This window comes from Homo sapiens, chromosome 21, assembly GCF_000001405.40.
Source record: "Homo sapiens chromosome 21, GRCh38.p14 Primary Assembly".
In the NCBI taxonomy this organism is placed as follows: Eukaryota; Metazoa; Chordata; class Mammalia; order Primates; family Hominidae; genus Homo; species Homo sapiens.
Genome location: NC_000021.9, coordinates 44822988 through 44848974, shown reverse-complemented (window position 1 = coordinate 44848974; position 25987 = coordinate 44822988). Strand labels below are relative to the sequence as shown.

Below are 25987 nucleotides of genomic sequence, written 5' to 3'. Positions count from 1 at the left end.
CAGGAATGTGTGGCAACTGCAGACTTGCATCTGGAACGGGGAGACGTGAGGTTGCGACTCCTGCCCCCAGACACACTGCCATGGTGCTGCCCCCAGACGCACTGCTATGGTGTGGTCTTAGTGCCCAGTATCTCGTTTGAGAGGCTCATCCTTGTCAGAAACATTAGGCTTAGAATCGTTTAAGAAGTTGCAAATTTTCTGGCCGGGCACAGTGCTCACGCCTGTAATCCCAGCACTTTGGGAGGCCAAGGCTTGTGGATCACTCAGGTCAGGAGTTTAAGACCAGCCTGACCAACATGGTGAAACCCTGTCTCTACTAAAAATAGAAAAAATTAGCCGGGCGTGGTGGCGTGCGCCTGTAATCCCAGCTACTCGGGAGGCTGAGGCAGTAGAATCACTTGAACCCAGGAGGTGGCGGTTGCAGTGAGCTGAGACCATGCCATTGCACTCCAGCCTGGGCGACGAGAGCAAAAACACTGTCTCAAAAAAAAAAATTATAAAGTTGGAAGTTTTCTGATTACACTGAGATTTCTGCTTTAAAAGGAATGGTTGGTGAGTAAAATACTTCCTCTCTGATGTCTGCTCTTCAAAAAAAAAAAATATCGTGCAGGTTAAAAATACAGTCACTGGCCGGGCGTGGTGCCTCACACCTGTAATTCCAGCACTTTAGGAGGCCGAGGCGGGCGGATCACCTGAGGTCAGGAGTTCGAGACCAGCCTGGCCAACATGGTGAAACCTCGTTTCCGCTAAAAATACAAAAATTAGCCGAGTGTGGTGGTGTACGCCTGTAATCCCAGCTACTCGGGAGGCTGAGGCTGGTGAACTGCTTGAACCCAGGAGGTGGAGGTTGCAGTGAGCTGAGACCATGCCATTGCACTCCAGCCTGGGCAACAGAGCGAGACTCTGTCTCAAAAACTAAAAATAAAAATGCAGTCACTGTGGGTGCCCAGGCCAGCGTCCCTGTTAGCTGGTCTTGTGTGCCTTCCAAAGCCAGTCTGTCCTTCGGCCTCCGTGGGGCACCAGGTGCAGGGCTTCTCAGGACCGTCAGTGTCCTCACCCAGTCCCACCCGTCTGCTTTGGGAGGCGTAGCTTCCACCTGCAGTCCAGTTCGTGCTGCCTCGGTGTGGCATTTGACTCAGCTGTGAGGTCAGCTTCTAGAAGTAGAATTCTGGATCAAAGGGTGTGTGATGTGTACTTGAAACGTTGACTAGAATCTGCCAAATTTCCCTCCAAAGAAGATGCCTGACTGTGGGGATCTAATCCCTGGCAGGACAGATGGAGGGGAGTGGGGTGTCCAGTGTGTTCAGCACACTCGAGGACAGACAGACTGGGGCTGGCCTGGGCAGAGGCGAGAACATGGGGACCACAGCGGCTGAAGGCAAGGACTGGGCCTGGGTGTGAAGTGGGGAGGCCAGAAGAGTGGGCGGGATGTTGACTCCATCCTGTCACTGGCTTCGGGCCGGGGGCAGACACAGCTTCTGAGAAGGCAGCAGGAGGGTGGTGAGACACGCTCTTGTCCTGCTGCAGGTGGTCCTGGGGCTCCCCTGACCCCCAGCCTGGCAGCACGCCTGCAGTCCCCCCTCTGCCGAATGGTGCTGCTTGCAGGCCGCAGTCAGGCGGTGGCCGTGGCAGTTCAGTTCTCGGTGCTCACTTGACGGGCGGTCCCAGCAGGTACCCAGTGCACCCCCAGCATTCTGGACTAGCTCTGCAAGGCCCATGTTACAGAGAAGCCTGTCTGCCCCAGAGTCCATCACAAAGGCCACCGTGCGGCCGCTGTCCACCATGCATCCACCGTGAGCCCAGAGTGACTTGGGGCAGCCACCTCTTCAGGGGGAGCCCTCATTGTGACACAAAGGTGTCTGCTTGAGCCTGACGGGGGTGGTCAGGTCATTGTGACACAAAGGTGTCTGCTTGAGCCTGACGGGTGGCCCAGGTCCCCGAGTGGACTGCCTGCTGCCCCCCTTGGTCTGTGGTCCCATGCATTCGCTGGGGAACAGGCCCCACAAAACAGCCTTTGAATCAGAGCCAGCCACGTCCGGAAGGATGGAAGCAGCCCGTGAGCCACATGGACTTTGGCAGCACGTCTGTCACCCTCAGGTCCTCATGTGGATGACTCCCACACGCACAGTGGCTCACACCCCAGAGCCAGACTCCAAGCCCTCATCTGTGGCTCTGCCTCCCCAGGGCTCTTGGAGTCCATCCCTCCAGCAGATGGGGAGAAGCCCCCAGTTGGAAGTGACTCTCCCCTCAACTCATTCCACTGACAAGAGCTGGTCACCCCCTGGGACCTAGGCAGTCGCTTCCCACGCGGGTGGGGGCACCTCTGGGGCCGTCTGTGCATGGAGATGACTCCTGTCTAACAGGATCTCCACTTCCTCCTCAAAGCCGTTTTAACGAAGCCGCGCGGAACCTCTCAGTACAGGCAGATCCCGACACGTGCGCAGAATAAAAGCCCGTGTCACAGAGGAACGTCAGAGCTGCCAGCTCAGCCAGTACTTACTTGGTCTGATGGTTTTCCACTCTCCAAAGCTACAGAATGTTACTTAACCCACCATCAGGCTGCAGATTTTTTGTTCTTTTAAACCTTGAATACCAAGAAACAATTTCTAACTAGAGATAATCGTAAAATACAGCCAATAGCAGTATTCTGCAGTACTCTCTTCCACAAATCCTATTTCTCTCAGCTTCCATGTAGTGGCACTTAGTAAACAATGAAAAGAATTTTTCTGAGAGTGGGCTTTGCTGATGAGGCTTCAGGGACCTGCATGAGGAAGGGCTGGCCTGGCCGGAGGTGTCTGGTTCATGAAATTTTCTCCAAGAGGGCGCCATGGAGTAGCTGCCCTCTCTCCAGAACAGACCGGTGATCACCGCCGCCGCCTCCAGGCTGCCAGGGCCAGAGCACGGGGCACGGCTGTGGAGGACCCTGCTGTGCTGCTGGACGCAGAGAATCCCAGGGGCCCAGCCCCGGCGCTCCGGCCCAGGACACGCCCTTCCTTCCTGGCCACAGGGACTTTTGGAAGCCCGGCCCCGCCCCCGCTCCGTTTGCGGGTGCTGGGTGTGGAAAGAGCAGGAGGACCCTGCGGAGTCTCTGCGGGGAGGAGTCCTGGGGTCCGTGGTCCCGCCCTCACCCAGGGCCTGGGTGGCGCCTGGCGGTTGTTTCCACTTTGGCTTGTTGGATGCACTGCCGGGGACCTCAGATGGGAAGCCCCAGCCCTGTGAGGACCAGATGGGACCCTGAGCCCAGAGAGGCGTGGGGGGCCCCTCTCCCCCGTCCACTCCTCCCCGCCTCCCTCCTGAGCAGGCGGGAACAGCCCTCCTGCGTCCACAGAAGCCAGACAGAATGGGGATGAAATGCACACTCGGGAGGAAAGGGGTTGGAGGGGTTGCACAAGATGCAGAACATCTTGGCAGAATTTCATCCATGCATTGGACACATCTGTCAGAAGCGTTCGAACCAGAGTGACTCCATCTTGAGTAGGGTCTGGGACTTGGTGGGCTGCATTCTCAGAAAGTCTGGCATTCCTGGCCTCTGGATGTTTACGGTTAAGGGAACAGGTTAGTAATGTTTACTACACAGACTCAGACTTGGGAGTGTCCAGATAGCCCATATCTGGAGAACAAAGGCATTCCTAATTTTGCTTTAAAGATAATATCGATCCTGGCAAAATATAGTAATTAAGAAAATAGGCTGGGTGCGGTGGCTCACGTCTGTAATCCCAGCGCTTTGAGAGGCCGAGGTGGGTGGATCACCTGAGGTCAAGAGTTCGAGACCAGCCTGGCCAACATGGCGAAACCCCGTCTCTACTAAAAATACAAAAATCAGCCGGGCGTGGTGGCGGGCACCTGTATTCCCAGCTACTCGGGAGGCTGAGACACGAGAAGCGCTTGAACCGGGGAGGCGGAGAGGTTGCAGTGAGCTGAGATCATGCCACTGCATTCCAGCCTGGGCAACAGAGTGAGACTCTGTCTCAAAAAAAAAAAAAAGAAAGAAAGAAAATTAATCCTTTATCACAAACCCTTGCATCCGAGCACGCCTCCCCGTGTACACCAGCACCGCACCTACGGTGCACGCGTTCCCCCTCTTACTTCCGGGAATGCCCTGCTCTGTCTACGGAGGAGCTATTCTTTGACCACTTTACTTTTGCAATAAACTTGCTATTGCTTTGCACTGTGGACTTGCCCTGAATTCTTTCTTGCACGAGATCCAGGAGCCCTCCCTTGGGGTCTGGAGCCAAACCTCATTCCTGTAACATATTTCTAGCGACCACGGAAGGGACTCTAGTGCGGAAACCCTGACCTGACGGCTGCCTCTGGGTACGTGTTAGGGTCCTGTAACAAATCTGCAAAGGAGAAACCGTTGTGTATCAGGCTGGGCATGGGGTGGGCACAGAGACCTGAGCCGCCCAGAGTCGGGGGCTGCACGTCCCCTGCCCCAGGAATGAGTGTGACCCTGCTGATGTTTCCAGACGGGAAGTGCTCAGACGGACTCCCGGCGTTTGGAGTCCAGGCCGGAGTAGGGTTTGACCCAGGCAGGAGTCAGGCGGGGCTTGGTTCAGGGGCTGAGATTTCGGCCGAGGAGGAATGGGAAGCGGAGAGGAGGTCAGGGGCTGCAGGGGAGGGGGTCCTAGGTCAGACTCTGGGCCTGATTCGGTGGCGGTGGTGGGAGGCCGCCTGTGCCCTGTGGGTGGTGAGGGGTTTTCCTTTTTTCCTTGTCTTTTTTTTTTTGAGACGGAGTCTCGCTTTGTCCCCCAGGCTGGAGTGCAATGGCACGATCTCGGCTCACTGCAAGCTCCGCCTCCCGGGTTCACGCCATTCTCCTGCCTCAGCCTCCGAGTAGCTGGGACTACAGGCGCCCGCCACCACGCCTGGCTAATTTTGTTGTATTTTTTTTTTAGTAGAGACGGGGTTTCATCGTGTTAGCCAGGATGGTCTTGATCTCCTGACCTCGTGATCTGCCCGCCTCGGCCTCCCAAAGTGCTGGGATTACAGGCGTGAGCCACCGTGCCCGGCCAAGGGTTTTCCTTGTCTTATCAGCTGGGCCTGCTTTAGCAAAATACCCCAAGCTGGGGCGCTTCAGCCACAGACACTGAATTCTAGCTGCCCAGGAGGCTGGAAGCCAAGCTCAGGGTTCTGGAAGTTCTGTCCCTGGCTCGCAGCCCTTCTCACTGTGTGCCCAGGGGTGCACTTTCGGAGGGTGATGGGGAGAGAGAGAGAAAAAGAGAGAGAGCAAGCGAGCAAGCAAGCCTCACTCTTCTCCTGAGGACACAGAGATGGAGAGAGAGACAGAGAGAGAGACTCACTCTTTCTTCTCCTGAGAACACAGGTGAGAGAGAAAGCCTCATTCTTTCTTTTCCCGAGGACACAGTTAGAGATGGAGAGAGAGACAGAGAGAGAGACTCACTCTTTCTTCTCCTGAGGACACAGTCCCCTCGGCAAGGCCCCATCTCCAGCTAAGTCACTTGGGGGGTTGGGGCTTCAACCCATGGGTTTTGGGGGGGACACAGTTTAGTCCATAGCACACTCTATTAATGTTATTTAAAGCAGTGACGTTTTCTACTTTAAAAAAACCCGACATCATTCAAAGAAAAACTACGCAGTAAATAATTGCAGAGAGGCTTGGGATGAGGCAGAGGCTTGAAGGCGGTGACGTGTGTCGGCCTCACAGCCGCCTAGGTGCAGATCTTGGCTGCCTGAGGGCCTTGCAACCCTGAGCTCACTGCCAGGTCCAGAAAGCTCCAGGGAGCCCAGGCTCGCCGTGGAGGTGGCTACCCAGGGCCACAGCCATGGAGCTGAGGAAAACGGTCACTTGCAGGGCAGAAGACACAGAAACGGGCTCGGGGAGTCAGGCAGACATACCTCGCTGTCAGGAAACACCAAATTAGGGCGTTATTAGAGTCTAAAAAGCCCTAGAGTGAGAATCTGGGGACTCAAACACTTCTGTACCCCTTGTGCAAGGCTTGTGTGGCACCTGTCCCAAATCCAAAGGCTGAGAACATGGAGCCGACTTCCAGACGCCATCCTCCAGGCTGCAGTGCTGAAGCCGACTGCTTGCCAAGCTGGGCCCTCCGTGGCGAGGGGTCCCCCCACAAGGCTAGTGGGTCTCTGTGGGGGCTGGTCTCCATCTGGGAGGTGAGGGCTCCTGTCTTTCCTTCACTCCCTCATTGGGAATTGGGAAGGGACCTGTTCAGATTGATGATGAAGAGCCCGCTGACCTATGGGACGTTCCCAGGACCATGCCTGCTTCCAGGGCGCGTGCCCTAGGATGAAGCCATCAATAAAATGTCCGGGAAACCCCAGAGCAGACCCCAAGAGCAAAGCCCCTTCACGGGTACAAATTGCCCATGGAGGGCAAGGAGAGCCAAAACGTAGGAGCAGGTGGGGCCCTGCCTGCCCAGCCCCGTTCTGGGTTTGTATGGAGATAGTAAAGTGTTTGCCTTCCAAGACAGGCTGGCACAACGGTTCCTGCCTGTAATCCTAGTGCCTTGGGAGGCCAAGGTGGGAGGATCACTTGAACCCAGGAGTTCAAGACCAGCCTGGGCAACATAGTGAGAGCCCATTTCTCAAAAAAAAAAAAAAAAAGCATCTGGTGGGCCCTAACCCTAAAGGAGAGCCTCAGGAGGGGAAAAGGCACCCACATTTCTCAGGCCACCTGTGTCCATGACACCGGCGCCTGCAGGTTGCTCTGGGAGTCGATGTTGGCAATTCACCGAAGGCGTGACGGGGGTGAGGGGCTGTTGCTGGGCTGGGCACGTTTAGTCACACAGGAAACCAGGTCTGGGGTCTGTTGCACGTGATGTGTGGGGGAGATGGAGCTGTACTGCACCCTGGGAAGCTGCGGGTGGTAAATGTTCTGTGTTTCCCAAGGGATCTGGAAAGCGCATTAAATCCCACTGAAATCCTCAATTTGGGCTTTAATCACGTGGAAAAAATGAATCAGAAAATAGTCTGTAATGATCTAGAAAGGTAAACAGTCACACACCACATAAGATTTTGGTGGACTGACTGCATGCACAACGGTGGTTCCATAAGGTTCCAATTCTGTAGGTTTATGGTACCTTCTCTGTGTCCGGATACATAAATTCTGGCCACTGCGTTCCAGTTGCCTGCAGTTCCCACACAGTAACATGCTGTAAAGTTTGCAGCCCAGAGTGATCCCCTCCATCAGGCACCCTGAGCACACAGTCTTTCCCACCTAGGTGTGTGTGCGTGCACTCCGTGATGTGTGCACAGGGACCAAACCACCCAACGCCGCACTCCTCAATCCCTGTGCCTAAGCGACTCGTGGCTGTGTTTAATGATGTACAGCCTCTGCAAACTAAACGTTCATCTGAGAACAGGAGAAAATTTGGTGGAGATTCCACAATCTCCCCTCTTGCCCCTCACCCCAGCCCTTTACTTTTAAGGATGGAACACCACGCACAACCGAAGTGGCAGCAATCCCTTACTGCCCGCCTGCTGATGTCGGGGCCTCACTCACAACCTTGTTTAATCCCCAGGTGCTCCTGCAGACCAGCAGTATGGGAGGAATGCCACCACCATTACACACGTGGAATCGGAGCTTGGCCAATTCAGGCGACAGCACCAAGAACAAGAACATCACTGACACTGCTGACGCCGCCCTTGTGAGGGTCGCCAGGTGGAGGCTGGAGGCTCAAGACGTGGACCCAGGTCTGCTCCCTGGGATGCTTTCTCCCTGCCATTGTCTCTTGCTCCATAATCTCAATGCTGGGAATGAGTGGGGACATTATCAGCAAGGGGACACTGTCCCAGAGACACCTGAGCCACCCCACAGAACCATGCAGCTCTCAGAAGCCCTGCACGTGGCCAGCTGGGGAGATGCTGTGAGCTGCCGCTTCCGGTTTCTCTATAGGTAACGGGATTCAGGGAGGCATCCACCCGGGAGAAGAGAATCTCGTTAACTGTGGCTGGATCAGCAGCAGAGGTGGCCATGGCTGTGCCCAGGGCAGGGCCCCACAGCCGGGCCTGACCATCCAGGGCTGTGTGCCTTGGGGCTCAGTCCTCACAGGAGGGGCTGCCCCAGCCTCTGGGCCTGGTTCCTTGAGGGTCCCAGCAGCAATGAGCCCCGGCCCCACCTGCAGCCCACAGCTCTGTGCTCACGCTTCCTGATGCTTCCTCCCGGCCCGACTCACACTCCCCACCCCCACACTCCTACCTCAATAGACCACCCCCCAAAGAAACTACTTCCAAGGCCTTGTCCCAGGCTCTGCTTTCTGGAGACCCCCGGAAGTCACCACGTGAGGCATGTGCAGCAGAGCCCCCAGTGATGCTTAATTTTATGTGTCAATTGACTGGGCCACAGGATGCCTGATAGCTGGTTACATGTGTTTCTGGGTGTGTCTGTGAGGGTGCTGACAGGTCAGCATTGGATTTGGTGGACCCAGGAAAGCCAACCCTCTCCCGAGCACAGGTGGGACCATCCAACCTATTGAGGGCCCAGACAGAGCCGATAGGTGGAGGGGGTGGTCGGCCGTCCTTCGGCCAGTCTGCTGAGCTGGGGCAGTGAAAGCGGCAGAATGAACAACTATTTTAATACACGGGTAATTTTTCTTTTAAAATTTGTAGAGGTGGGTTTTGCTATGGGTTCACCAGGTGGGTCTTGAGCTTCTGGCCTCAAGTGATCCTCCTGCCTCTGCCTTCCGAGTAGCTGAGACCACAGGTGCACATCAGTGAATTTGATTCGCACGTTTTATTTAAGGGTTTTGCGCCCTGTACTCATGAGGCTGGCGTATGTTTCTGTTTTTTGTGCTGTCCTTGTAGGTTTGGACATCAGGGTCATGCTGGAGTTGTAGTGGAAAGTTTCCATGGTTTTCTATGTTGTGGAAGATCTTTAAAGCATCTGGAGGCACTGTCTTTTTTAGGGGAGTTGAGTATTTTAATACTGCCTCAGTTTCTTCCATGGTTATTGGTCTATTCAGGTTGTCTAAGTTTTTTTTTTGTTTTTTTTTTTTTTGAGACGAGTCTCGCTCTGTCGCCCAGGCTGGAGTACAGTGGCGCAATCTCGACTCACTACAAGCTCTGCCTCCTGGGTTCACGCCATTCTCCTGCCTCAGCCTCCCGAGTAACTGGGACTACGGGAGCCCGCCACCACGCCCGGCTAATTTTTTTATGTTTTTAGTACAGACAGGGTTTCACCATGTTAGCCACGATGGTCTCGAACTCCTGACTTCGTGATCCGCCTGCCTTGGCCTCCCAAAGTGCTGGGATTACAGGTGTGAGCCACCGCGCCTGGCCAATATCCTTTTTTTTTTTTTTTTTTTTCAGAGGCAGGGTCTTACTCTATCACCCAGGCTGAGTGCAGTGGCATGATGGTAGCTCACTGTGGTCTTAAACTCCCAGGCTCAAGCAATCCTCCTGCTTCAGCCTCCTGAGTAGCAGGGTCTATAGGTGCACACCACCACGCCTGGTTAATTTTTTTGTAGAGATAGGGTCTCACTATGTTGCCCAGGCTGGTCTTGAACTCCTGGGCTCAGGTGATCCTCCTGCCTCACTGGGATTCCAGGTGTAGCGACCCCACTGCACCCAGCCTCACCGTTTAAAGTTCCTACTGCTTTTTCCATTCTTTCTTTTTCAGACTTGTGAACTTTTCCATTTTATTCACTTTTCATAGGAGCAGAGTCAGATCTACTGACGGAGTCTCTTTTCTCTATGCTATTACTGTGGTCCGTGGCTGCGTGATGGCCGTCAGGGAATCTCGTCTCTTGGTCCCCTCCCACGCTGGTTGGCTGGCTGTGTGTGGCTCACACAGAATGTGATGGAAGGGACTTTCCTGGGCTCCAAGAGGCCTTGTGTCTCTCCTCTCCCCTCTGGGAATGCTGCTGGGTGGAGAAGCCCAGGCTCTCCTGCTGGAGATGGGAGCCCAGCCGCAGCCAGCACCACACACCAGACATGTGGCCGAGGTCATCTCAGACTGTCCAGCCCTCATTGGGCCAGCAGCTGACCACGGCCATGTCAGTGAGCCCAGGCAAAGCCAGCAAAGGAACTGCCTGGCTCAGTCCAGGTGAAACTGTTGACCACAAAAAGCACAGGCAAATCTAATCACGGAGTTCCTTACAGAGGTGTGGGCGGGGTTGAGCATGACGGATGGCAGCCCCTGATGGCACAGTGGGAGCCTTCGCCACCGCTGGGCCTGAAGGGGCACGGGGAGGGGGTGGTCGCTGGCAGCCACCACTACCCCACCAGTCGAGAGGAGTGGCCAGCTCACAGTGACCGGGCAGGAGGGCCGACGACAGTGCCATGCCAGGCCTTGGGAGAGCAGACGGAGCAGGCTTGGGAAGGGGGTGAAGGTGCAGAGCCCCCGCGAGTCACCGTGCCCACCTTGTACATGGACCCATTGACAAGGGCGGATGGGGGGCCTGGGGACAGGCCTAGGGGACAGGCCACCTTCCACTTGAGCAGGGGCCTCCTCTGCAGTGGGTGCCCCTGGTGGCCTTTGGTGGGGCTGGAAGTTTGTCACATTCTGATGGCTCTGAGAGGCCCAGCCACACAGCCTCCCCAGGCCCCTGCTCAGCGACCCTCCAGCCCTGCTCTGTGCATGCCCCTGGCCTTGGGCTCCTGACAGCCACTGCCCAAGAGCCTGTTCACACCCACGCCTCAGCTGTCTTCCTTCCACGTGAGGTGGAAGCCCATGTTCAACCTGAAGTTCTGCTCCGGGGATCCCCTGCCCGCTCCGGCTGCCTGGCCAGGCTTTGAGGCAGCAGCTGCCCAGCTCTGCGGGACCAGCAGCCCCAGGGTTGAGCCTAGGAGGGGTGGGCGGGGCCAGCAGCCCCAGGGGTGAGTCTGGGAGGGGTGAGTCTGGGAGGGGTGAGTCTGGGAGGGGTGAGTCTGGGAGGGGTGAGACTGGGAGCGGTGGGCGGGGCGTACCCGGGCGCTGGTGCCCTGCGCGCTGTGTGCACCTTCTGGGACCTGGTCCCTATTTATGATTCCCCTTTATGGTGGTGCTGCGAGGCTCATGGCTGTGGGCCACGATGTGTGCGGGGGGCCTGGGGGGGGGGCCTGGAACGTGCAGCTCAGCCCCCAGCGCCACATGCACAGTGAGCGCTTTCCAAACCGAGAACAGCTGGCATCAGAGGTGCGCACAGCTTGGCCCCAAACACCCTGGAGGGTCTCACCCAGCGCCTCCTCTAGGAAGGGCAGACGCCTGCACCGCAGGCAGGTTCCCAGGCCCCAGGGCCACTGGTGCCGCAGCCTGGCCCTACACCCCACCTGCTCCTGCTCCAAGCCGGGCTCCAACGGGCAAAGGCATGGCCCTGCTGCTGGGTCAGAGCCACACACCCACACAAGGAATAGGCCGGCCCCAACCTTAGGCCCCCCAGCCCACAGCCACCCTGTGCCGTGGCCACAGGGACCTACAGCAGCCCTGTCCCCCCTCTCTCTCTCCACCCCACCCTCTCCTTCTTTACCTTTCTTTCCTTCTCCGCTCCTCTCTCCCTTTCTCCCTCTCCTTCTCTCTCTCTTGCCCCACCCTCAGACATCCCAACACGTCCAGAGAGCATGGCAGGCCCCTGGGCTGGGCAGGGTCTGTCCCCTGGGACACACGGGCACCCAGGCCAGGCATCCGGGCTTCTCCGGCCTCCTGTCTACCAGGCTAATTCATGAGCTGCGAGTCACACGATTGTCTCTGCAGAGTCGTAGGGCAAGAACGGGGGCCCAGCCCTGAGGAGATGGTGCCCGTGCTCTGCCCCGCACCCCAAGAGGACAGAGGCTCTGCGATCTTTGCTGCTAGGACTGGAAGCAACCGGCAAAGCAGAGGCCGGGCCAGGAGCTGCACCCTGGGTGCCGGGAGCTACACGGAGGTGCCGGGGACTGCCTGGGTGCCGGGGGCTACACGGAGGTGCCGGGGGCTGCACCCTGGGTGTCGGGGGCTACACGGAGGTGCTGGGGGCTGCACCCTGGGTGCCGGGGACTGCACGGAGGTGCCCCTGAAACCTGCTGCCTCGGAGCCTCGCGTGACTGGCATCACCACCTGACTGAGAGCGTGACAATCCAGTTCTTCTCCAAGCCCCACGTGGCTCTGGCGACAGCTGTGAAGGGGGTTCGTGGACCGTGGGGTGTGTGTGCTGCAGCTGCCAGGACAGACGCCACAGCCAGGTGGCTCACACAGACACTGGCTCCCTCTCAGCCCTGAAAACTGCATGTCTGAGGTCCTGGAGCGGCAGGGCCGGTTCCTCCTGAGGCCTCTCTCCTGGGCGTGCAGACGGCATCTCCTCCCCCGGTCCTCACGTGGTCTGTGTCCTCATCTGCTCTTACAAGGACTTCAGTCAGATGGGGCCAGGGACCAGCCTAGTGACCTACTTTAACATAATCATCTCTGTAGGGAGCCTGTCTCCAAACACAGTCCCACTGAGGTCCCAGGGGTTTGGATCTCAACACTGGAATTTAGGGAGACACGATTCTGCTCACAACACGGGCACTGCGTGTCATGCAAGCCTTGACTGGCACCTTGACCTCCACAGTTCCCAGGCTCTGGTAGTGTCTCTAGTTCCCTCTCTCTGGGACAGGGGTGGGGACAGGGGTGGGGTGGGGGCTGCAGGGGTGGGGTGGGGTGGGGATGGGGTGGGGTGGGGGCTGCAGGGGTGGGGTGGGGTCAGGGGTGGGGTGGGGGCTGCAGGGGTGGGGTGGGGTGGGGGCTGCAGGGGTGGGGTAGGGTGGGGATGGGGTGGGGTGGGGGCTGCAGGGATGGTGGGGTCAGGGGTGTGGTGGGGGCTGCAGGGGTGGGGTGGGGTGGGGTGGGGACGGGGTGGGGTGGGGGCTGCAGGGGTGGGGTGGGGGCTGCAGGGGTAGGGTGGGGATGGGGTGGGGTGGGGGCTGCAGGGATGGTGGGGTCAGGGGTGTGGTGGGGGCTGCACGGGTGGGGTGGGGTGGGGTGGGGACGGGGTGGGGACGGGGTGGGGTGGGGGCTGCAGGGGTGGGGTGGGGTGGGGGCTGCAGGGGTGGGGTGGGGTGGGGGCTGCAGGGGTGGGGTAAGGTTGGGGAGGGGTGGGGGCTGCAGGTGCACGTGGTCTCACTCGGCCCTTTCTGCAACGACAGTGAAGAGAGGAGACTCCGCCAGTTGCTAAATGTGTGTGTTCCTGCTGGGCCCACTGTATGGTCGACTGCGGGGAGACCCTACTCCAGCCAGGGACCTTGCTGGCTGGCCAGGCCCTGCAGAACCAGCACCTAATAACCCTGGAGGGTGCTGTCCTTCCCTGGAACTCCGTGACCCTTGAAAATGGCCAGGGGGCCTTGGAAGGAGCAGGGGCTGATCTGTGGCCCACACCCATGGGAGGCTCCCCCTTCAAAGTCCCAGGCACCTCGGGAAGATGCTCAGGAGGCCCCACTGTGGTGATTCCAGTTGGGTTTTGACCAACAGACCTAGAGTTTTCCTGCCTGTAGATGTCAGGCAATAGCTTGGTAGCTTTGCCTCTGTCTCCTTGTGATGGATTCACCACCACGACCATCGCTGTGGCTCAGGCAGCTCTGAGTTCCTCTCCCTCCGTGGCTTACAGCGATGCCCACTCCCACTGTCTCTCACGTTCAGTGCTGACACCTGGCATCCAGCACGCCGGGTTCTTGTCGTCGCCCCTGAGATCTGGGAGCCCGTCTCCCTTGCAACGTCTTGGGCCTCAGAAATCTCACCAGGGAACTGTGAGCCTTCCCACGCCTTAATGACCTGGTTCAGGGAGTGTCCGGATGTGGCCGGGAGAGAGCAGGCAGGCTGCACACAAACCGCCCAGCGCCTATCTCCGTGAGCGTTCCGCTTCACCCTCTGTGGCAGCGACTCCGCCTTGGCTACACGATGGAATCACCGAGGAGTGTTTATACCTGCACTGCCAGACCCTGCACCAACGCATGGACCTCGCGGGCCTGGCACGAGTGTTTCTTTTTACTCTCCAGGTGAATCCAATGTCTAGCCAAAGCTGAGAACCCTGCTCCAGAGGCTCCTCGCAGGCACCCCCTCCAGCAGCAGCACTGGCAGCACCTGGAGCACCTGGAGTACCTAGTGTCCATCCCCACCGAGGACCTGCTGGGTCAGAGGCTGCGTGTCAGCAGGATTCCTAAAGAATTCACACATAACTCGCATCTCACACTCACAGCATGGGAACCCTCTGGAGGGCTCGCCAGGACACAGGTCCCCAAGGCTCTGATTTGGCAAGCCTGGGAAGGGGCCCAAGAATCCACCTTTGGGACCAGTCCCTGAGTGACGTAGATGCCGCTGGTGCAGGGGCCACACACGGAGGACGCCAGGAAGGCCATCGTGTCAAGCTAATTGGCCACAGTGGAGCCCGAGAGTCTATCAGCCAGATGAGGAACTCATTTCCAAGTACCTCATGCAACACAGTAATCCCTATGTCCTAGGTCAGTGCCCCCGGCCCAATCCAGCCTTATTTCACCTGCCAGGCTTGGTACGCTATATATTTCTCCAACCCTGGCCTGAACACGTTGGTGAGGGCTTGCAACCCTGCAGCATTCCGTGTTGGGATGTGACCTTGTTTGGGGTCAGGAAGCAGTGGGAGGTGGCGGGCGCATCGTGAGGAAAATGGGCCTTTCGTCATCAGGGACCGGGCCTGATGTCAGTGTGGAGGTCTGTCTATGTACAGAAAGGCGTCTTCTCTCCACCAGTGTCAGTGTGGAGGTCTCTCCGTGCACGGAAAGGCATATTTCCTTCACCAGTGTTGGCGTGGAGGTCTCTCCGTGCACGGAAAGGCATATTCTCCCCACTGAGGTCGGCGTGGAGGTCTCTCTGTGCACAGAAAGATGTCTTCTGTCCAGTGCATTGTCGCTGCACCTGTGTGAAAAATCAACGGGCCATTTGTGTGTGTGTCCACCTCTGATCTGTCAGTGTGTTCAGGGATAGTGATCTGTGTGCCTGTCACTTCACATTTGATGACTGTGACTTTATATTAAGACTTCAAGTCAGGTATGGTGAGTTCTCTGATTCTGTTCTTTGCAAAACTGTTTGGCTATTCTAGTTCCTTAAATTTCCCTGAACTTTTCTAGTTCCTTTGCCTTTCCCTAGAACTTTTAGAATCAGAGTGTTGATTTCTACAAAAAGTCCTGCTGAGATTTTGGTTGGGGTTATGTTGAATCTATAGATGATGTCATAACCAATGACGACGTCATCACCATAACAATGCTGAGTTATGATTGACGTTTACAAATGCTGTAAACCAACTATATGGCAACTGTCTGTTTTAGACCAAGGGTTGGCAAACGATGGCCCATGGATGAAGTGCAGTCTACCTACGAGCTAAGAATGGTTTTTACATTTTATTTTATTTTATTTATTTATTTATTTGGTTTTTACATTTTAAACACTTTAAATGTAAAATGTCAAAAGGGGCCGGGCGCGGTGGCTCACGCCTGTAATCCCAGCACTTTGGGAGGCCGAGGCGGGCGGATCACGAGGTCAGGAGATCGAGACCATCCTGGCTAACACGGTAAAACCCTGTCTCTACTAAAAATTACAAAAAATTAGCCGGGCATGGTAGGGGTGCCTGTAGTCCCAGCTACTCGGGAGGCTGAGGCAGGAGAATGGCGGGAACCCGGGAGGCGGAGCTTGCAGTGAGCCGAGATCGCGCCACTGCACTCCAGCCTGGGTGACAGAGTAACAGAGAGAGACTCCGTCCCCCTCCCCCCAAAAAAAACAGTCCAAAGGACTCTGTAGGGTCCAGCCCTACAGGGCTTAGCAGGTGTTCTCCCCATGTGCCGAGACGAGAGATTGTAATAAATAAAGACACAAGACAAAGAGATAAAGAGAAAGCAGCTGGGCCCAGGGGACCACTACCACCAAGACGAGGAGACCGATAGTGGCCCCGAACCGCTGGGCGTGCTGATATTTATCGCATACAAGACAAGGGGGCAGGGTAAGGAGGGTGAATCTTCTAAGGGATTGACAAGGTGAAGCAAGTCACGTGATCATAGGACAGGGGGCCCTTCCCTCTTAGGTAGCCAAAGCAGAGACAGAAGGCAGCATACATCAGCGTTTTCTTCTCTGCATTTACAAGAAAGATTAAACACTTTAAGACTTCCACTATTTTTTCTACCGCTATCTTCAAAGAGGAACCAGGAGTACGGGAGGAGCATGAAAGTGGACAAGGAGCATGACCACTGAAGCACCACAGGGAGGGGTTTAGGCCTCCGGATGACTGCGGGCAGGCCGGGATAATATCCAGCCTTCCACAAGAAGCTGGTGGAGCAGAGTGTTCCCTGACTCCTCCAAGGAAAGGAGACTCCTTTTCGAGGTCTGCTAAGTAACAGGTGCCTTCCCAGACACCGGCGTTACCGCTTCACCAAGGAGCCCTCAAGCGGCCCCTATGCGGGCGCGACAGAGGGCTCACCTCTTGCCTTCTAGGTCACTTCTCACAATGTCCCTTCAGCACCTGACCCTATGTCCGCCGGTTATTCCTAGGTTATATTAGTAATGTAACAAAGAGTAATGTTAAAAGCTAATGATTAATAATGTTTATAATAATGATTGATAATTGTCCATGATCATCTGTATATCTAATTTGTATTATGACTATTCTTATTCTATTTTCTTTATTATACTGAAACAGTTTGTGCCTTTAGTCTCTTGCCTCGGCATCTAGGTATTCTTTCTCCCACAGGACTTTGCCTTTCTTTTTTAAAATTATATTATTTCTAGGCCGGGCACGGTGGCTTATGCCTGTAATCCCAGCACTTTGGGAGGCTGAGGCGGGCGGATCATGAGGTCAGGAGTTCAAGACCAGCCTGGCCAATATGGTGAAACCCCGTCTCTACTAAAAATACAAAAATTAGCCAGGCATGGTGCCGCACACCTGTGCTGCCCAGCTACTCAGGAGGCTGAGGCAGGAGGATTGCTTGAACCCAGGAGGCAGAGGTTACAGCGAGCTGAGATTGCACCACTGCACTCCAGCCTGGGCGACACAGCAATCCTCCATCTCAAAAAATAAAATAAAATAATATTATTTCTTTGTAGAGATGGGGGTCTCACTATGTTGCCCAGGTTGGTCTTGAACTCCTGGTCTCAAGTGATCCTCCTATCTCGGCCTCCCAAAGTGCTGGGATTGCAGGCGTGAGTCCCCGTGCTGGGCCATTTCTGTGATGAGAATTGTTTAAAGAGTTGAGGACTCTCCCAGCCTTTGGCTAGGAAAGCATAAAATATTTACTGTCTGTTCTTTTGCAGAAAAAGTTTGTTGGTTCCTGTTTTAAACAGTTAATTATCTTTCAGATGATTAAAAATCTGGAACAAATGTTTTCTATATTTAGTTAATTTTAACCATTCTGGGGTTCTTCACTTCCTTGTCTGGTTATCGTATACCCTTCTGCCTCAAGAACTTCCTTATCATTTCTTAAAACATAGCCTGCTGGCTATAAATTCTCTTTATTTTCTTTCGTCTGAGAATGTCTTTTCACTGCCTTTCCTGAAGAGCATTTTCACTAGATATTAAATTCTGAACTGAATTGCCTTCGGCGCTTTCACAGGGTCATTTCTGCCTCCTGGCCTGCACGGTTTCTGATGAGGAGTGTGCAGTGGCTCGAACTGCTTCCCCTGAAGGTGAGGTACTGTTCTCCTCTGGCTGACTGCAAGACTTTTTTCTTTATCTTTGATTATCACGTTCCTGATTGTGGTTTTGAGTTTATCTTCTTTGGGGTTTGCTGAACTTCTTGAATCTATACATTGATCTCTTTTCACTAAATTTGTGATTTTTTTTGAGTCTTTATTTCTTCAAACAGTTTTTCTTTACCAATCTTTCTGGGACTCCAAAATGACATGAAAATTAGACCTTTTGTTTTTCCCCCACAGGTGTCTGGGGCTCAGTTTAGTTTAGTTTTAATATTTTCTGTTCTTCACATTGGATCATTTCTACTGACTTCCCTTCAGGTTCGCTGAATCTTTCCTCTGACAACTCCATTCTGCTTTTGAGGCTAGTCAGGGAATTAAAAAGTTCCTGATATTATTATTTTTAAATTCTGAGTTTCTTTAAAAAATATATTTTCTACTTCTCTGCTGAGAACCTTGGTCTTTCTAATGATTTCAATAGAGTTTAACTTTTACTTAAATAAGCAATCAGCAGAGCTGGGTGCGGTGGCACACGCCTGTAGTCCCAGTGACTTGGAAGCCTGAGGCGGGAGAATCGCTTTGAGCCCAGGAGTTCGAGGCTGCAGCAAGCTATGATTTTGCCACTGCACTCCAGCCAGGGCCACGGAGCAAGACCCCGGTGAGACAGGAGAATAGGGTCTGGAAGCAGGGAACCTAAGGCCAATTCATGCTGACTTCCTAGAACTAAATCAGAAGGAAAACCCCAACTTTCCACACCTAAGTAACAAAAGAACTGGAGGCTGCCTTTGCAAATCCCCCCACCCCCACCCCCACCCCCACCCCTTTTGGGTGTGGCAGATGGAAAATTGAAGGTATCTCTGCTTGGTTGCTTCCTGCAACCAATCAGACGTTTGCATAGGAGTGTAACTTTGTAACTTCACTTCAGCCTCTGATTGGCAACCAATCAGACTGATTGCAGGCCAAGTCTTTGTTTGCATAGAAGCGTAACTTTGTAATTTCATTTTAGCCTCTGACTGGTTGCTTTCCGCAACCAATCATACACTTGCATAGGGCGTGATCTTTGTAACTTCACTTCAGCCTCTGATTGGTTGCTTTCCACAACCAATCAGAATGTTTGCAGGCCACTACTTCATTTACATAGGATGGACACCAAGTAACCAATGGGAAGTCTCTAGAGGGTATCAAAACCCCTGAGAATTCTGTAAGGGGTCTTGAGCCGTTATTCTCCAGCGGCTCCCACCATGTGGAGTGTACTTTCATTTGCAATAAGTCTCTGCTTTTGTCACTCCATTCTTTCCTTGCTTTGTGTGCTTCATCCAATTCATTGTTCAAAACGCCAAGAACCTGGACACCCTCCACTGGTAACACCATCTCTAAAAAAATTCAAACAGCAACAAAAAGCAACCAGCAAAAGTTTTTGTCTGGTGATCTTAACACCCACATCATTTTGGGTTGACATATGTTGGTGTCATTTCCCTTGAGAATTAATCACATTTTCCTTGTTCTTTGTATACCAAGTAACTAAATCTTATACTGGCCACTTTGATATGCTGTGAGACTCTGGGTCCTGTTAAAATCCTTTGGAGGATGATTATTTTTTTCTTTTTGTTTTGTCAAGCACCCTGTCCTGTCAGTTTCAGAATGCGAGCTCTGTCCCACCTCCCAGGGGCCAAGATTTCACTCTCAGTTCTTTCTCAAAGCTGTTGCTATGTTGCTTTGAATTGCCTCACCATGCCCAGCTCAGGGTTGATTCATTCACAGAGTCAGGGGACCCCTGTCTTCAATTCTCTCCTTGCTGAGATTTCTACCACATTCACCAGCCCCCAAGAGCCCCCTTTACCAGTCCTCTGGTTACAAGGAAGGGATTTCTCTGGGAACTTTAACCACCCATACTCCACCACAGTTTCAGGGACGTTGCCCATGGACTAAGCAGCAAGAGAAAAGAGAGGGGAAAATAACAGGAACTTCCCTAATGCTCTTTGGATCACAAGGCTCCTTTCTTCTAGGGTCTGTGGCCAGAAAATGTGTATTTCTCTTGAGGTTTGGGGTCCATTCTGCCACCCTAGTGCAGCGCTATGACGGGACACTCTTGGGAGAGGGCTGGGAAAGATTAAAAAAGTGAAAAACCAAACCAAACAAAAAATCTGAATTCAATCCACATGCTTTGGCTTGCAGGGTCTCTTTTCCTCTGGCCAGAAAAAAAACAATTTCTTTTGTAGTTTTTTCTGTCCACACATGTTGTGCAGTTCCACACAGGGGTCAGCCTGCGGTCTAAGCTGGGTGATGAAAGACGAAAAATACTTGGGATCACTCACCAGCTTTTTCTTTGTGTTTCAGTCTCATTCCCTAATTTGCTTCCTACTGTTAACTTTCCCGAGTCCTCAGATACTTTTTTATGTGTTATCCAGAGCTTTCCGTTGTCTTCAGTAAGAATGTAGGCTGGAAAGAGCTTGCTCCGTATTGTCCAGCATTGGAAGTCTCTTCTTCATTTTTGAAGGTGTTTTGCTGGGTATAGAAATCTGGGTTCATAGTCTTGAAAGATGTCACTTCATTGTCTTCTGGCTTGCATAGTTTCTACTAACAAGTGTGTTGTACTTCTTATCCTTGTTCCTCTGGGTGTAATGTGTCCTTTTTTTTTTTTTTTTTTCTATTTGCCTTCAAGATGTTTTCTTTATCTTTGGTTTTGAGCAGCTGAATATGGTGTTTTCTTTCTAAAAAAAGATTTTTAATCCTGGCTATGGTTTTCTGAACTTGGATGTGTGATGTGGTGTCTTTCATTATTCCTGAAAAAAAATTTGCCATTATTTTAAAAATAATTATTCTCCCTCATTCTCTCTTCTTCTTCTGTTACTCCAATTACACATATGTTAGACCATTTGAGATTACTCCAGGGCTTCTGCTTGCTCTTTTACGTCTGATGTTTTCATTTGTTTGTTTTCCACTTTTTCCTCATGTTTTTTAGCTTGGATAATTTCTGTGGACTTATCTGGAAGCTCACTGCTTCTTTTCTTGGCTGTGTTGAGCCTATTCATGAGCCTGTTGGAGGTGGGCTTCCTCTCTAGCATTTTCACTGGACTCTTTCTTAGCATTTCAATCTCTGTGCTGAAGCTCCTCACCTTGACATTCATATTGTTTACTGTTTCCACTAGAACCTTTAAGATAAATTCCTATCTGACAATCCTTGCATCTGAGTCATATCTGAATCTGGTTCTACTGATTTTTGTCTCCTGGTTGTGATTTTTCTTTTCCCTTTTTTTTTTTTTTTTGTGCCTCATAATTATTTACTGAAAGCCAGCCATTGTATGTGAGACAACAGTATTTCTATCTGGAAATGGACATTCCCCATTAGGTTGCCATCATGGGGGTTTGAGTCAATCAAGCTAGGAGTTGAGCTGGATTTGAGTTTTGCTGTTGCTGTGGTCACCTTGAGGGTAGCATGACCTTGAACTTAGGGTTGAGGATGGTTTGCTGCAGGACTTTTCTCAATGAGCCTGCTCTGCACCTTTAACTTAGGTCTTCTTTGCATGTCTGCCCTTGAGACAGGGCCTGTTGGTGCCCCTCACTCAGGAGGGCTGCTCTTGCTTGTTTCTCTCTGCCCTGGTCCTGCTCAGTCTCAGGCAGGACTCACATCCTTGAGTCTCAGAGTGGAATTTTTTTCAGTAATCCTGTTCCTTCCCTGGAGATGGAAGACCTCTGACGGGCTGAGTGTACATATGTTTCAACCCCTCCCTTAGAGGTGGAATTATTTTCTTGTTGTTTTCCCCAGCCACAACAGGTCCCTAGGTGACAGGATTTTCTGCTCCTCTCTCCCTGGCATCTTAAGGCATCTGTTCCATAGGGAAAAACTGTCTGGTGGGGTTTTTCCCCTACTCCCCGCCACAGTGGTGGCTCCTCCCCTCCCAGGGCCTCTGCCATCACATATTGCTTCCTCTGGCCTCCCACATGCTCCAGCCTTTCCTGTGAGTGCCCAGGGTGTGATGTGTGGAAGAGCCTATAAGCAGGGTGAGCCTCCATTGTGTCTCCAGTTCTTGGGGTTCTGTATTCGCACAGAAGCCCACGCTTGGTCTTAAGCAATTTTCTAATAAGGTTGTCTGAATTCTTCTCGTCCACTTTTACAGCAGCTCCATCTTCCTCCTGTTCCTTGTCAAGGGTGAGCCAATTACCCTGTCTATCCTTGGATTTCAGGTTGATTACATTGCAATTTCAGCTCCCTGGTAGATTTAAGAACAGTGATGATTTTGTAGGTCATTCGGCGTTTCTGTTTTTAGGTTAGGGGCAATGCTCTTCCCAGATTTCTAGATTCTAGGTGGAACCTTACCTTTGTATGATTTTGCCTCAGCTCCCACATCTGTAAAATGGCACGATAATAGTAGCTACCTCCTATCATTAATACATATAAAGATACAGAGGAATGCATTTCACATAAGTGCTACGCATTGTCTTCCATTATTATTTTTATTGTTTATATCTCTTTTAATGAATTTGTTACATTGGTTGATTTTTGCTGTATTGCTTTTCTCCCAGTGGTTTGAAAGCTACTTTTAATTTCCTTCAGATTATCCTAATTTCTTTTTCTTTTTTTTTTTTTTTTTTGTTGAGACAAAGTCTTGCTCTTGTTGCCCAGGCTGGAGTGCAGTAGCACAATCTAGGCTCACTGAAACCTCCACCTCCTGGGTTCAAGAGATTCTCCTGCCTCAGCCTCCTGAGTAGCTGGGATTACAGATGCCTGCCACCATGCCTGGCTAATTTTTGTATTTTTAGTAGAGACAAGGTTTTACCATGTTGGCCAGGTGGGTAAATTTTTTTCTTTATAAACCACTTTTTCATTGAAATGAAACATACATACAGGAAAGTGCATACATAACTTGAGCATTTTTATATGTGTTTAAACTCCCATTATTCTATCAACAAATATTAATATCTTTATCTATGTTTTCACCTTGAACCAGACAAGAACTGTAGTATGCTTGTACTTCCCTTCTTCCTGTCTCCTTCTCCTCCATCTATACCTTACATCTGCTGTGTTACAATCTGCTGGGATTTTAATCCCAGATACCGTATTTTTTTTTTTTTACAGTATGCAGCACAAAGTATTTAGTATTAAAAATGACTTTTGCTGGTTTCTTTGCTCACTTTTCTTTTCCAGCCAGGAAACAATACAGAACTCTCAAAGAACTCATCGATCACACTGTAGTTTAAAACCAGTGATGTTCCTGGAGTTGGGTTCCAGATGTTCCTGGAGTTGGGTTCCAAATGTTCCTGGAGTTGTGCAGTGCACGGTCCACTCAACAGCACACACTGATTCTGCTTGAATGTCCCTGTCATGAGTTCCATCTGCATTTTGCTGCAGTGAATCCATGATGATTCTTTCAGTGAGGATCCGTGGATGGAAAACCCAGTGAATATTTGCATTTCTGAAAATATCTTAAACTTGTCTGTCCTCCCCTTTACCACTTTTTTTTTAATTATTTATTTATTTATTTATTTATTTATTTTTATTGATCATTCTTGAGTGTTTCTCACAGACGGGGATTTGGCAGGGTCATAGGACAATAGTGGAGGGAAGGTCAGCAGATAAACAAGTGAACAAAGGTCTCTGGTTTTCCTAGGCAGAGGACCCTGCAGCCTTCCGCAGTGTTTGTGTCCCTAGGTACTTGAGATTAGGGAGTGGTGATGACTCTTAACGAGCATGCTGCCTTCAAGCATCTGTTTAACAAAGCACATCTTGCACCGCCCTTAATCCATTTAACCCTGAGTGGACACAGCACATGTTTCAGAGAGCACAGGGTTGGGGGTAAGGTCACAGATCAACAGGATCCCAAGGCAGAAGAATTTTTCTTAGTACAGAACAAAATGAAAAGTCTCCCATGTCTACTTCTTTCCACACAGACACGGCAACCATCCGATTTCTCAATCTTTTCCCCACCTTTCCCCCCTTTCTATTCCACAAAACCGCCATTGTCATCATGGCCCGTTCTCAATGAGCTGTTGGGTACACCTCCCAGACGGGGTGGTGGCCGGGCAGAGGGGCTCCTCACTTCCCAGTAGGGGCGGCCGGGCAGAGGCGCCCCTCACCTCCCGGACGAGGCGGCTGGCCGGGCGGGGGGCTGACCCCCCCACCTCCCTCCCAGACGGGGCGGCTGGCCGGGCGGGGGGCTGACCCCCCCACCTCCCTCCCGGATGGGGCGGCTGGCCGGGCGGGGGGCTGACCCCCCCACCTCCCTCCCGGATGGGGCGGCTGGCCGGGCGGGGGGCTGACCCCCCCACCTCCCTCCCGGACGGGGTGGCTGGCCGGGCAGAGGCGCCCCTCACCTCCCAGACGGGGCGGCTGGCCGGGCGGGTGGCTGAACCCCCCAACTCCCTCCCGGACGGAGCGGCTGGCCGGGTAGAGGGGCTCTTCACTTCCCAGTAGGGGCGGCTGGGCAGAGGCGCCCCTCACCTCCCGGACGGGGCGGCTGGCCTGGCGGGGGCTGACCCCCACCTCCCTCCCGGACGGGGTGGCTGCCTGGCGGAGACGCTCCTCACTTCCCAGACGGGGCGGCTGCCGGGCGGAGGGGCTCCTCACTTCTCAGACGGGGCGGTTGCCAGGCGGAGGGTCTCCTCCCTTCTCAGACAGGGCGGCTGGGCAGAGACGCTCCTCACCTCCCAGACGGGGTCGCGGCCGGGCAGAGGCGCTCCTCACATCCCAGACAGGGCGGCGGGGCAAAGGCGCTCCCCACATCTCAGAAGATGGGCGGCCGGGCAGAGACGCTCCTCACTTCCTAGATGGGATGGCGGCCGGGAAGAGGCGCTCCTCACTTCCTAGATGGGATGGCGGCCGGACAGAGACACTCCTCACTTTCCAGACTGGGCAGCCAGGCAGAGGGGCTCCTCACGTCCCAGACGATAGGCGGCCAGGCAGAGACGCTCCTCAATTCCCAGACGGGGTGGCGGCCGGGCAGAGGCTGCACTCTCGGCACTTTGGGAGGCCAAGGCAGGCGGCTGGGAGGTGGAGGTTGTAGCAAGCCGAGATCACGCCACTGCACTCCAGCCTGGGCACCATTGAGCACTGAGTGAACCAGACACCGTCTGCAATCCCGGCACCTCCGGAGGCCGAGGCTGGCGGATCACTTGCGGTTAGGAGCTGGAGGCCAGCCCCGCCAACACAGCGAAACCCCGTCTCCACCAAAAAAATACGAAAACCAGTCAGGCGTGGCGGCGCGGGCCTGCAATCCCAGGCACTCGGCAGGCTGAGGCAGGAGAATCAGGCAGGGAGGTTGCAGTGAGCCGAGATGGCAGCAGTACAGTCCAGCTTCGGCTCGGCATCAGAGGGAGACCGTGGAAAGAGGGGGAGAGGGAGACCGTGGGGAGAGGGAGACCGTGGGGAGAGGGAGAGGGAGAGCGGCAGGCTCTTCTTTATCCTCAGGCTTCAGCTCAGACATCCCTCACCTGCTAGAACCCCCTTTACCACTTTTTAGATACTGCAACAACCCTAGAACACGTTAATTCCTCCTGCCTCGTGCTGTCATTATCACTTCTTCTAATTCCACATCTATTTAGAACTCCAGAAGACATTATTATTGTTGTTCTATGCAGTCATTGTCTATTTAGATTTACCCAGATATGCAGGCTTTTTATTGTTCTTCATTCCTTCCTGTACTTCATACTTCCGTCCAGGGCCACTTTCCCTCTGCTGAAGAAATCCTTTTAGTATTTATTTTAGTGTATGCTTTCTGGCAGTTAATTCTGCAAACCAAAAAGTATCTGAGACAGGTCTCAATCAATTTAGAAGTTTACTTTGCCAAGGTTAAGAACAACTCCTGGGAGAAAAAAGCATGGAATCACAGAAACAGCCTGTGGTCTGTGCCTTTCTCCAAAGATGACTCTGAGGGCTTCAGTATTTAAAGAGGAAAAGTGGGCTAGAGGGGAAAGAGGAAGGGTGTGGTCACATGACTGAATGTACATGGTGCAAGAGAAAAGGAGCCGGTGGGGAGGAGTCAATTGTGTATTCATCTTATGCCCAGCAAATTGGCACTTTCCATAAGAGAAGGTGAACTTAGAGCAGCTACTTGTGGTGATGTTTAACCTTTTATCTCTAGCTATCTGCTTAGGAACTAAAAGAAAGGCAGCTTCTTGCATGACTCAGCTTTCAGCTTAATTTTTTCCTTTTGGCAGAGTGAATTGGGGTCCCAAGTTTTTATTTGCCTTTCACATATCTCTATGATTTGCTTTTTCTGAAATATCTTCATTTCACTTCTGCCTTTATATGATGTTTTCATTTGGTATAAAATTCTATGTAGATAGCTGTTTTCTTTCACCACGTTGAAGATGTTAATTCCATTGTCACCTGGCTTCCATGGTTTTGTCACAAAGTCAGGTGTAAGTCCTTTAGTTTCTCCTTTATATGTCTAGCTTCTATTCTCTTTGTCTTTGGTTTTCAGCAGGTTTAGAATGTAACCACGT

At 52.9% G+C, this 25987-nt stretch overlaps 6 annotated features.

The window, feature by feature from the left end:
* Nucleotides 2645-3145: an enhancer, noted in NCBI's record as "H3K4me1 hESC enhancer chr21:46265745-46266245 (GRCh37/hg19 assembly coordinates)". NCBI's record gives its function as "activates a minimal SCP1, AML or CMV promoter by ChIP-STARR-seq in primed H9 embryonic stem cells {active_cell/tissue: H9 hESC(primed)}" and the evidence as "EXISTENCE:reporter gene assay evidence [ECO:0000049][PMID:30033119]".
* Nucleotides 2708-2777: an enhancer, noted in NCBI's record as "active region_18576". NCBI's record gives its function as "activates an Ori minimal core promoter by ATAC-STARR-seq in GM12878 lymphoblastoid cells {active_cell/tissue: GM12878}" and the evidence as "EXISTENCE:reporter gene assay evidence [ECO:0000049][PMID:35858748]".
* Nucleotides 3146-3646: an enhancer, noted in NCBI's record as "H3K4me1 hESC enhancer chr21:46265244-46265744 (GRCh37/hg19 assembly coordinates)". NCBI's record gives its function as "activates a minimal SCP1, AML or CMV promoter by ChIP-STARR-seq in primed H9 embryonic stem cells {active_cell/tissue: H9 hESC(primed)}" and the evidence as "EXISTENCE:reporter gene assay evidence [ECO:0000049][PMID:30033119]".
* Nucleotides 3208-3277: a silencer, noted in NCBI's record as "silent region_13392". NCBI's record gives its function as "represses an Ori minimal core promoter by ATAC-STARR-seq in GM12878 lymphoblastoid cells {active_cell/tissue: GM12878}" and the evidence as "EXISTENCE:reporter gene assay evidence [ECO:0000049][PMID:35858748]".
* Nucleotides 13894-14395: an enhancer, noted in NCBI's record as "H3K4me1 hESC enhancer chr21:46254495-46254996 (GRCh37/hg19 assembly coordinates)". NCBI's record gives its function as "activates a minimal SCP1, AML or CMV promoter by ChIP-STARR-seq in naive H9 embryonic stem cells {active_cell/tissue: H9 hESC(naive)}" and the evidence as "EXISTENCE:reporter gene assay evidence [ECO:0000049][PMID:30033119]".
* Nucleotides 24643-25202: an enhancer, noted in NCBI's record as "H3K27ac hESC enhancer chr21:46243688-46244247 (GRCh37/hg19 assembly coordinates)". NCBI's record gives its function as "activates a minimal SCP1, AML or CMV promoter by ChIP-STARR-seq in naive H9 embryonic stem cells {active_cell/tissue: H9 hESC(naive)}" and the evidence as "EXISTENCE:reporter gene assay evidence [ECO:0000049][PMID:30033119]".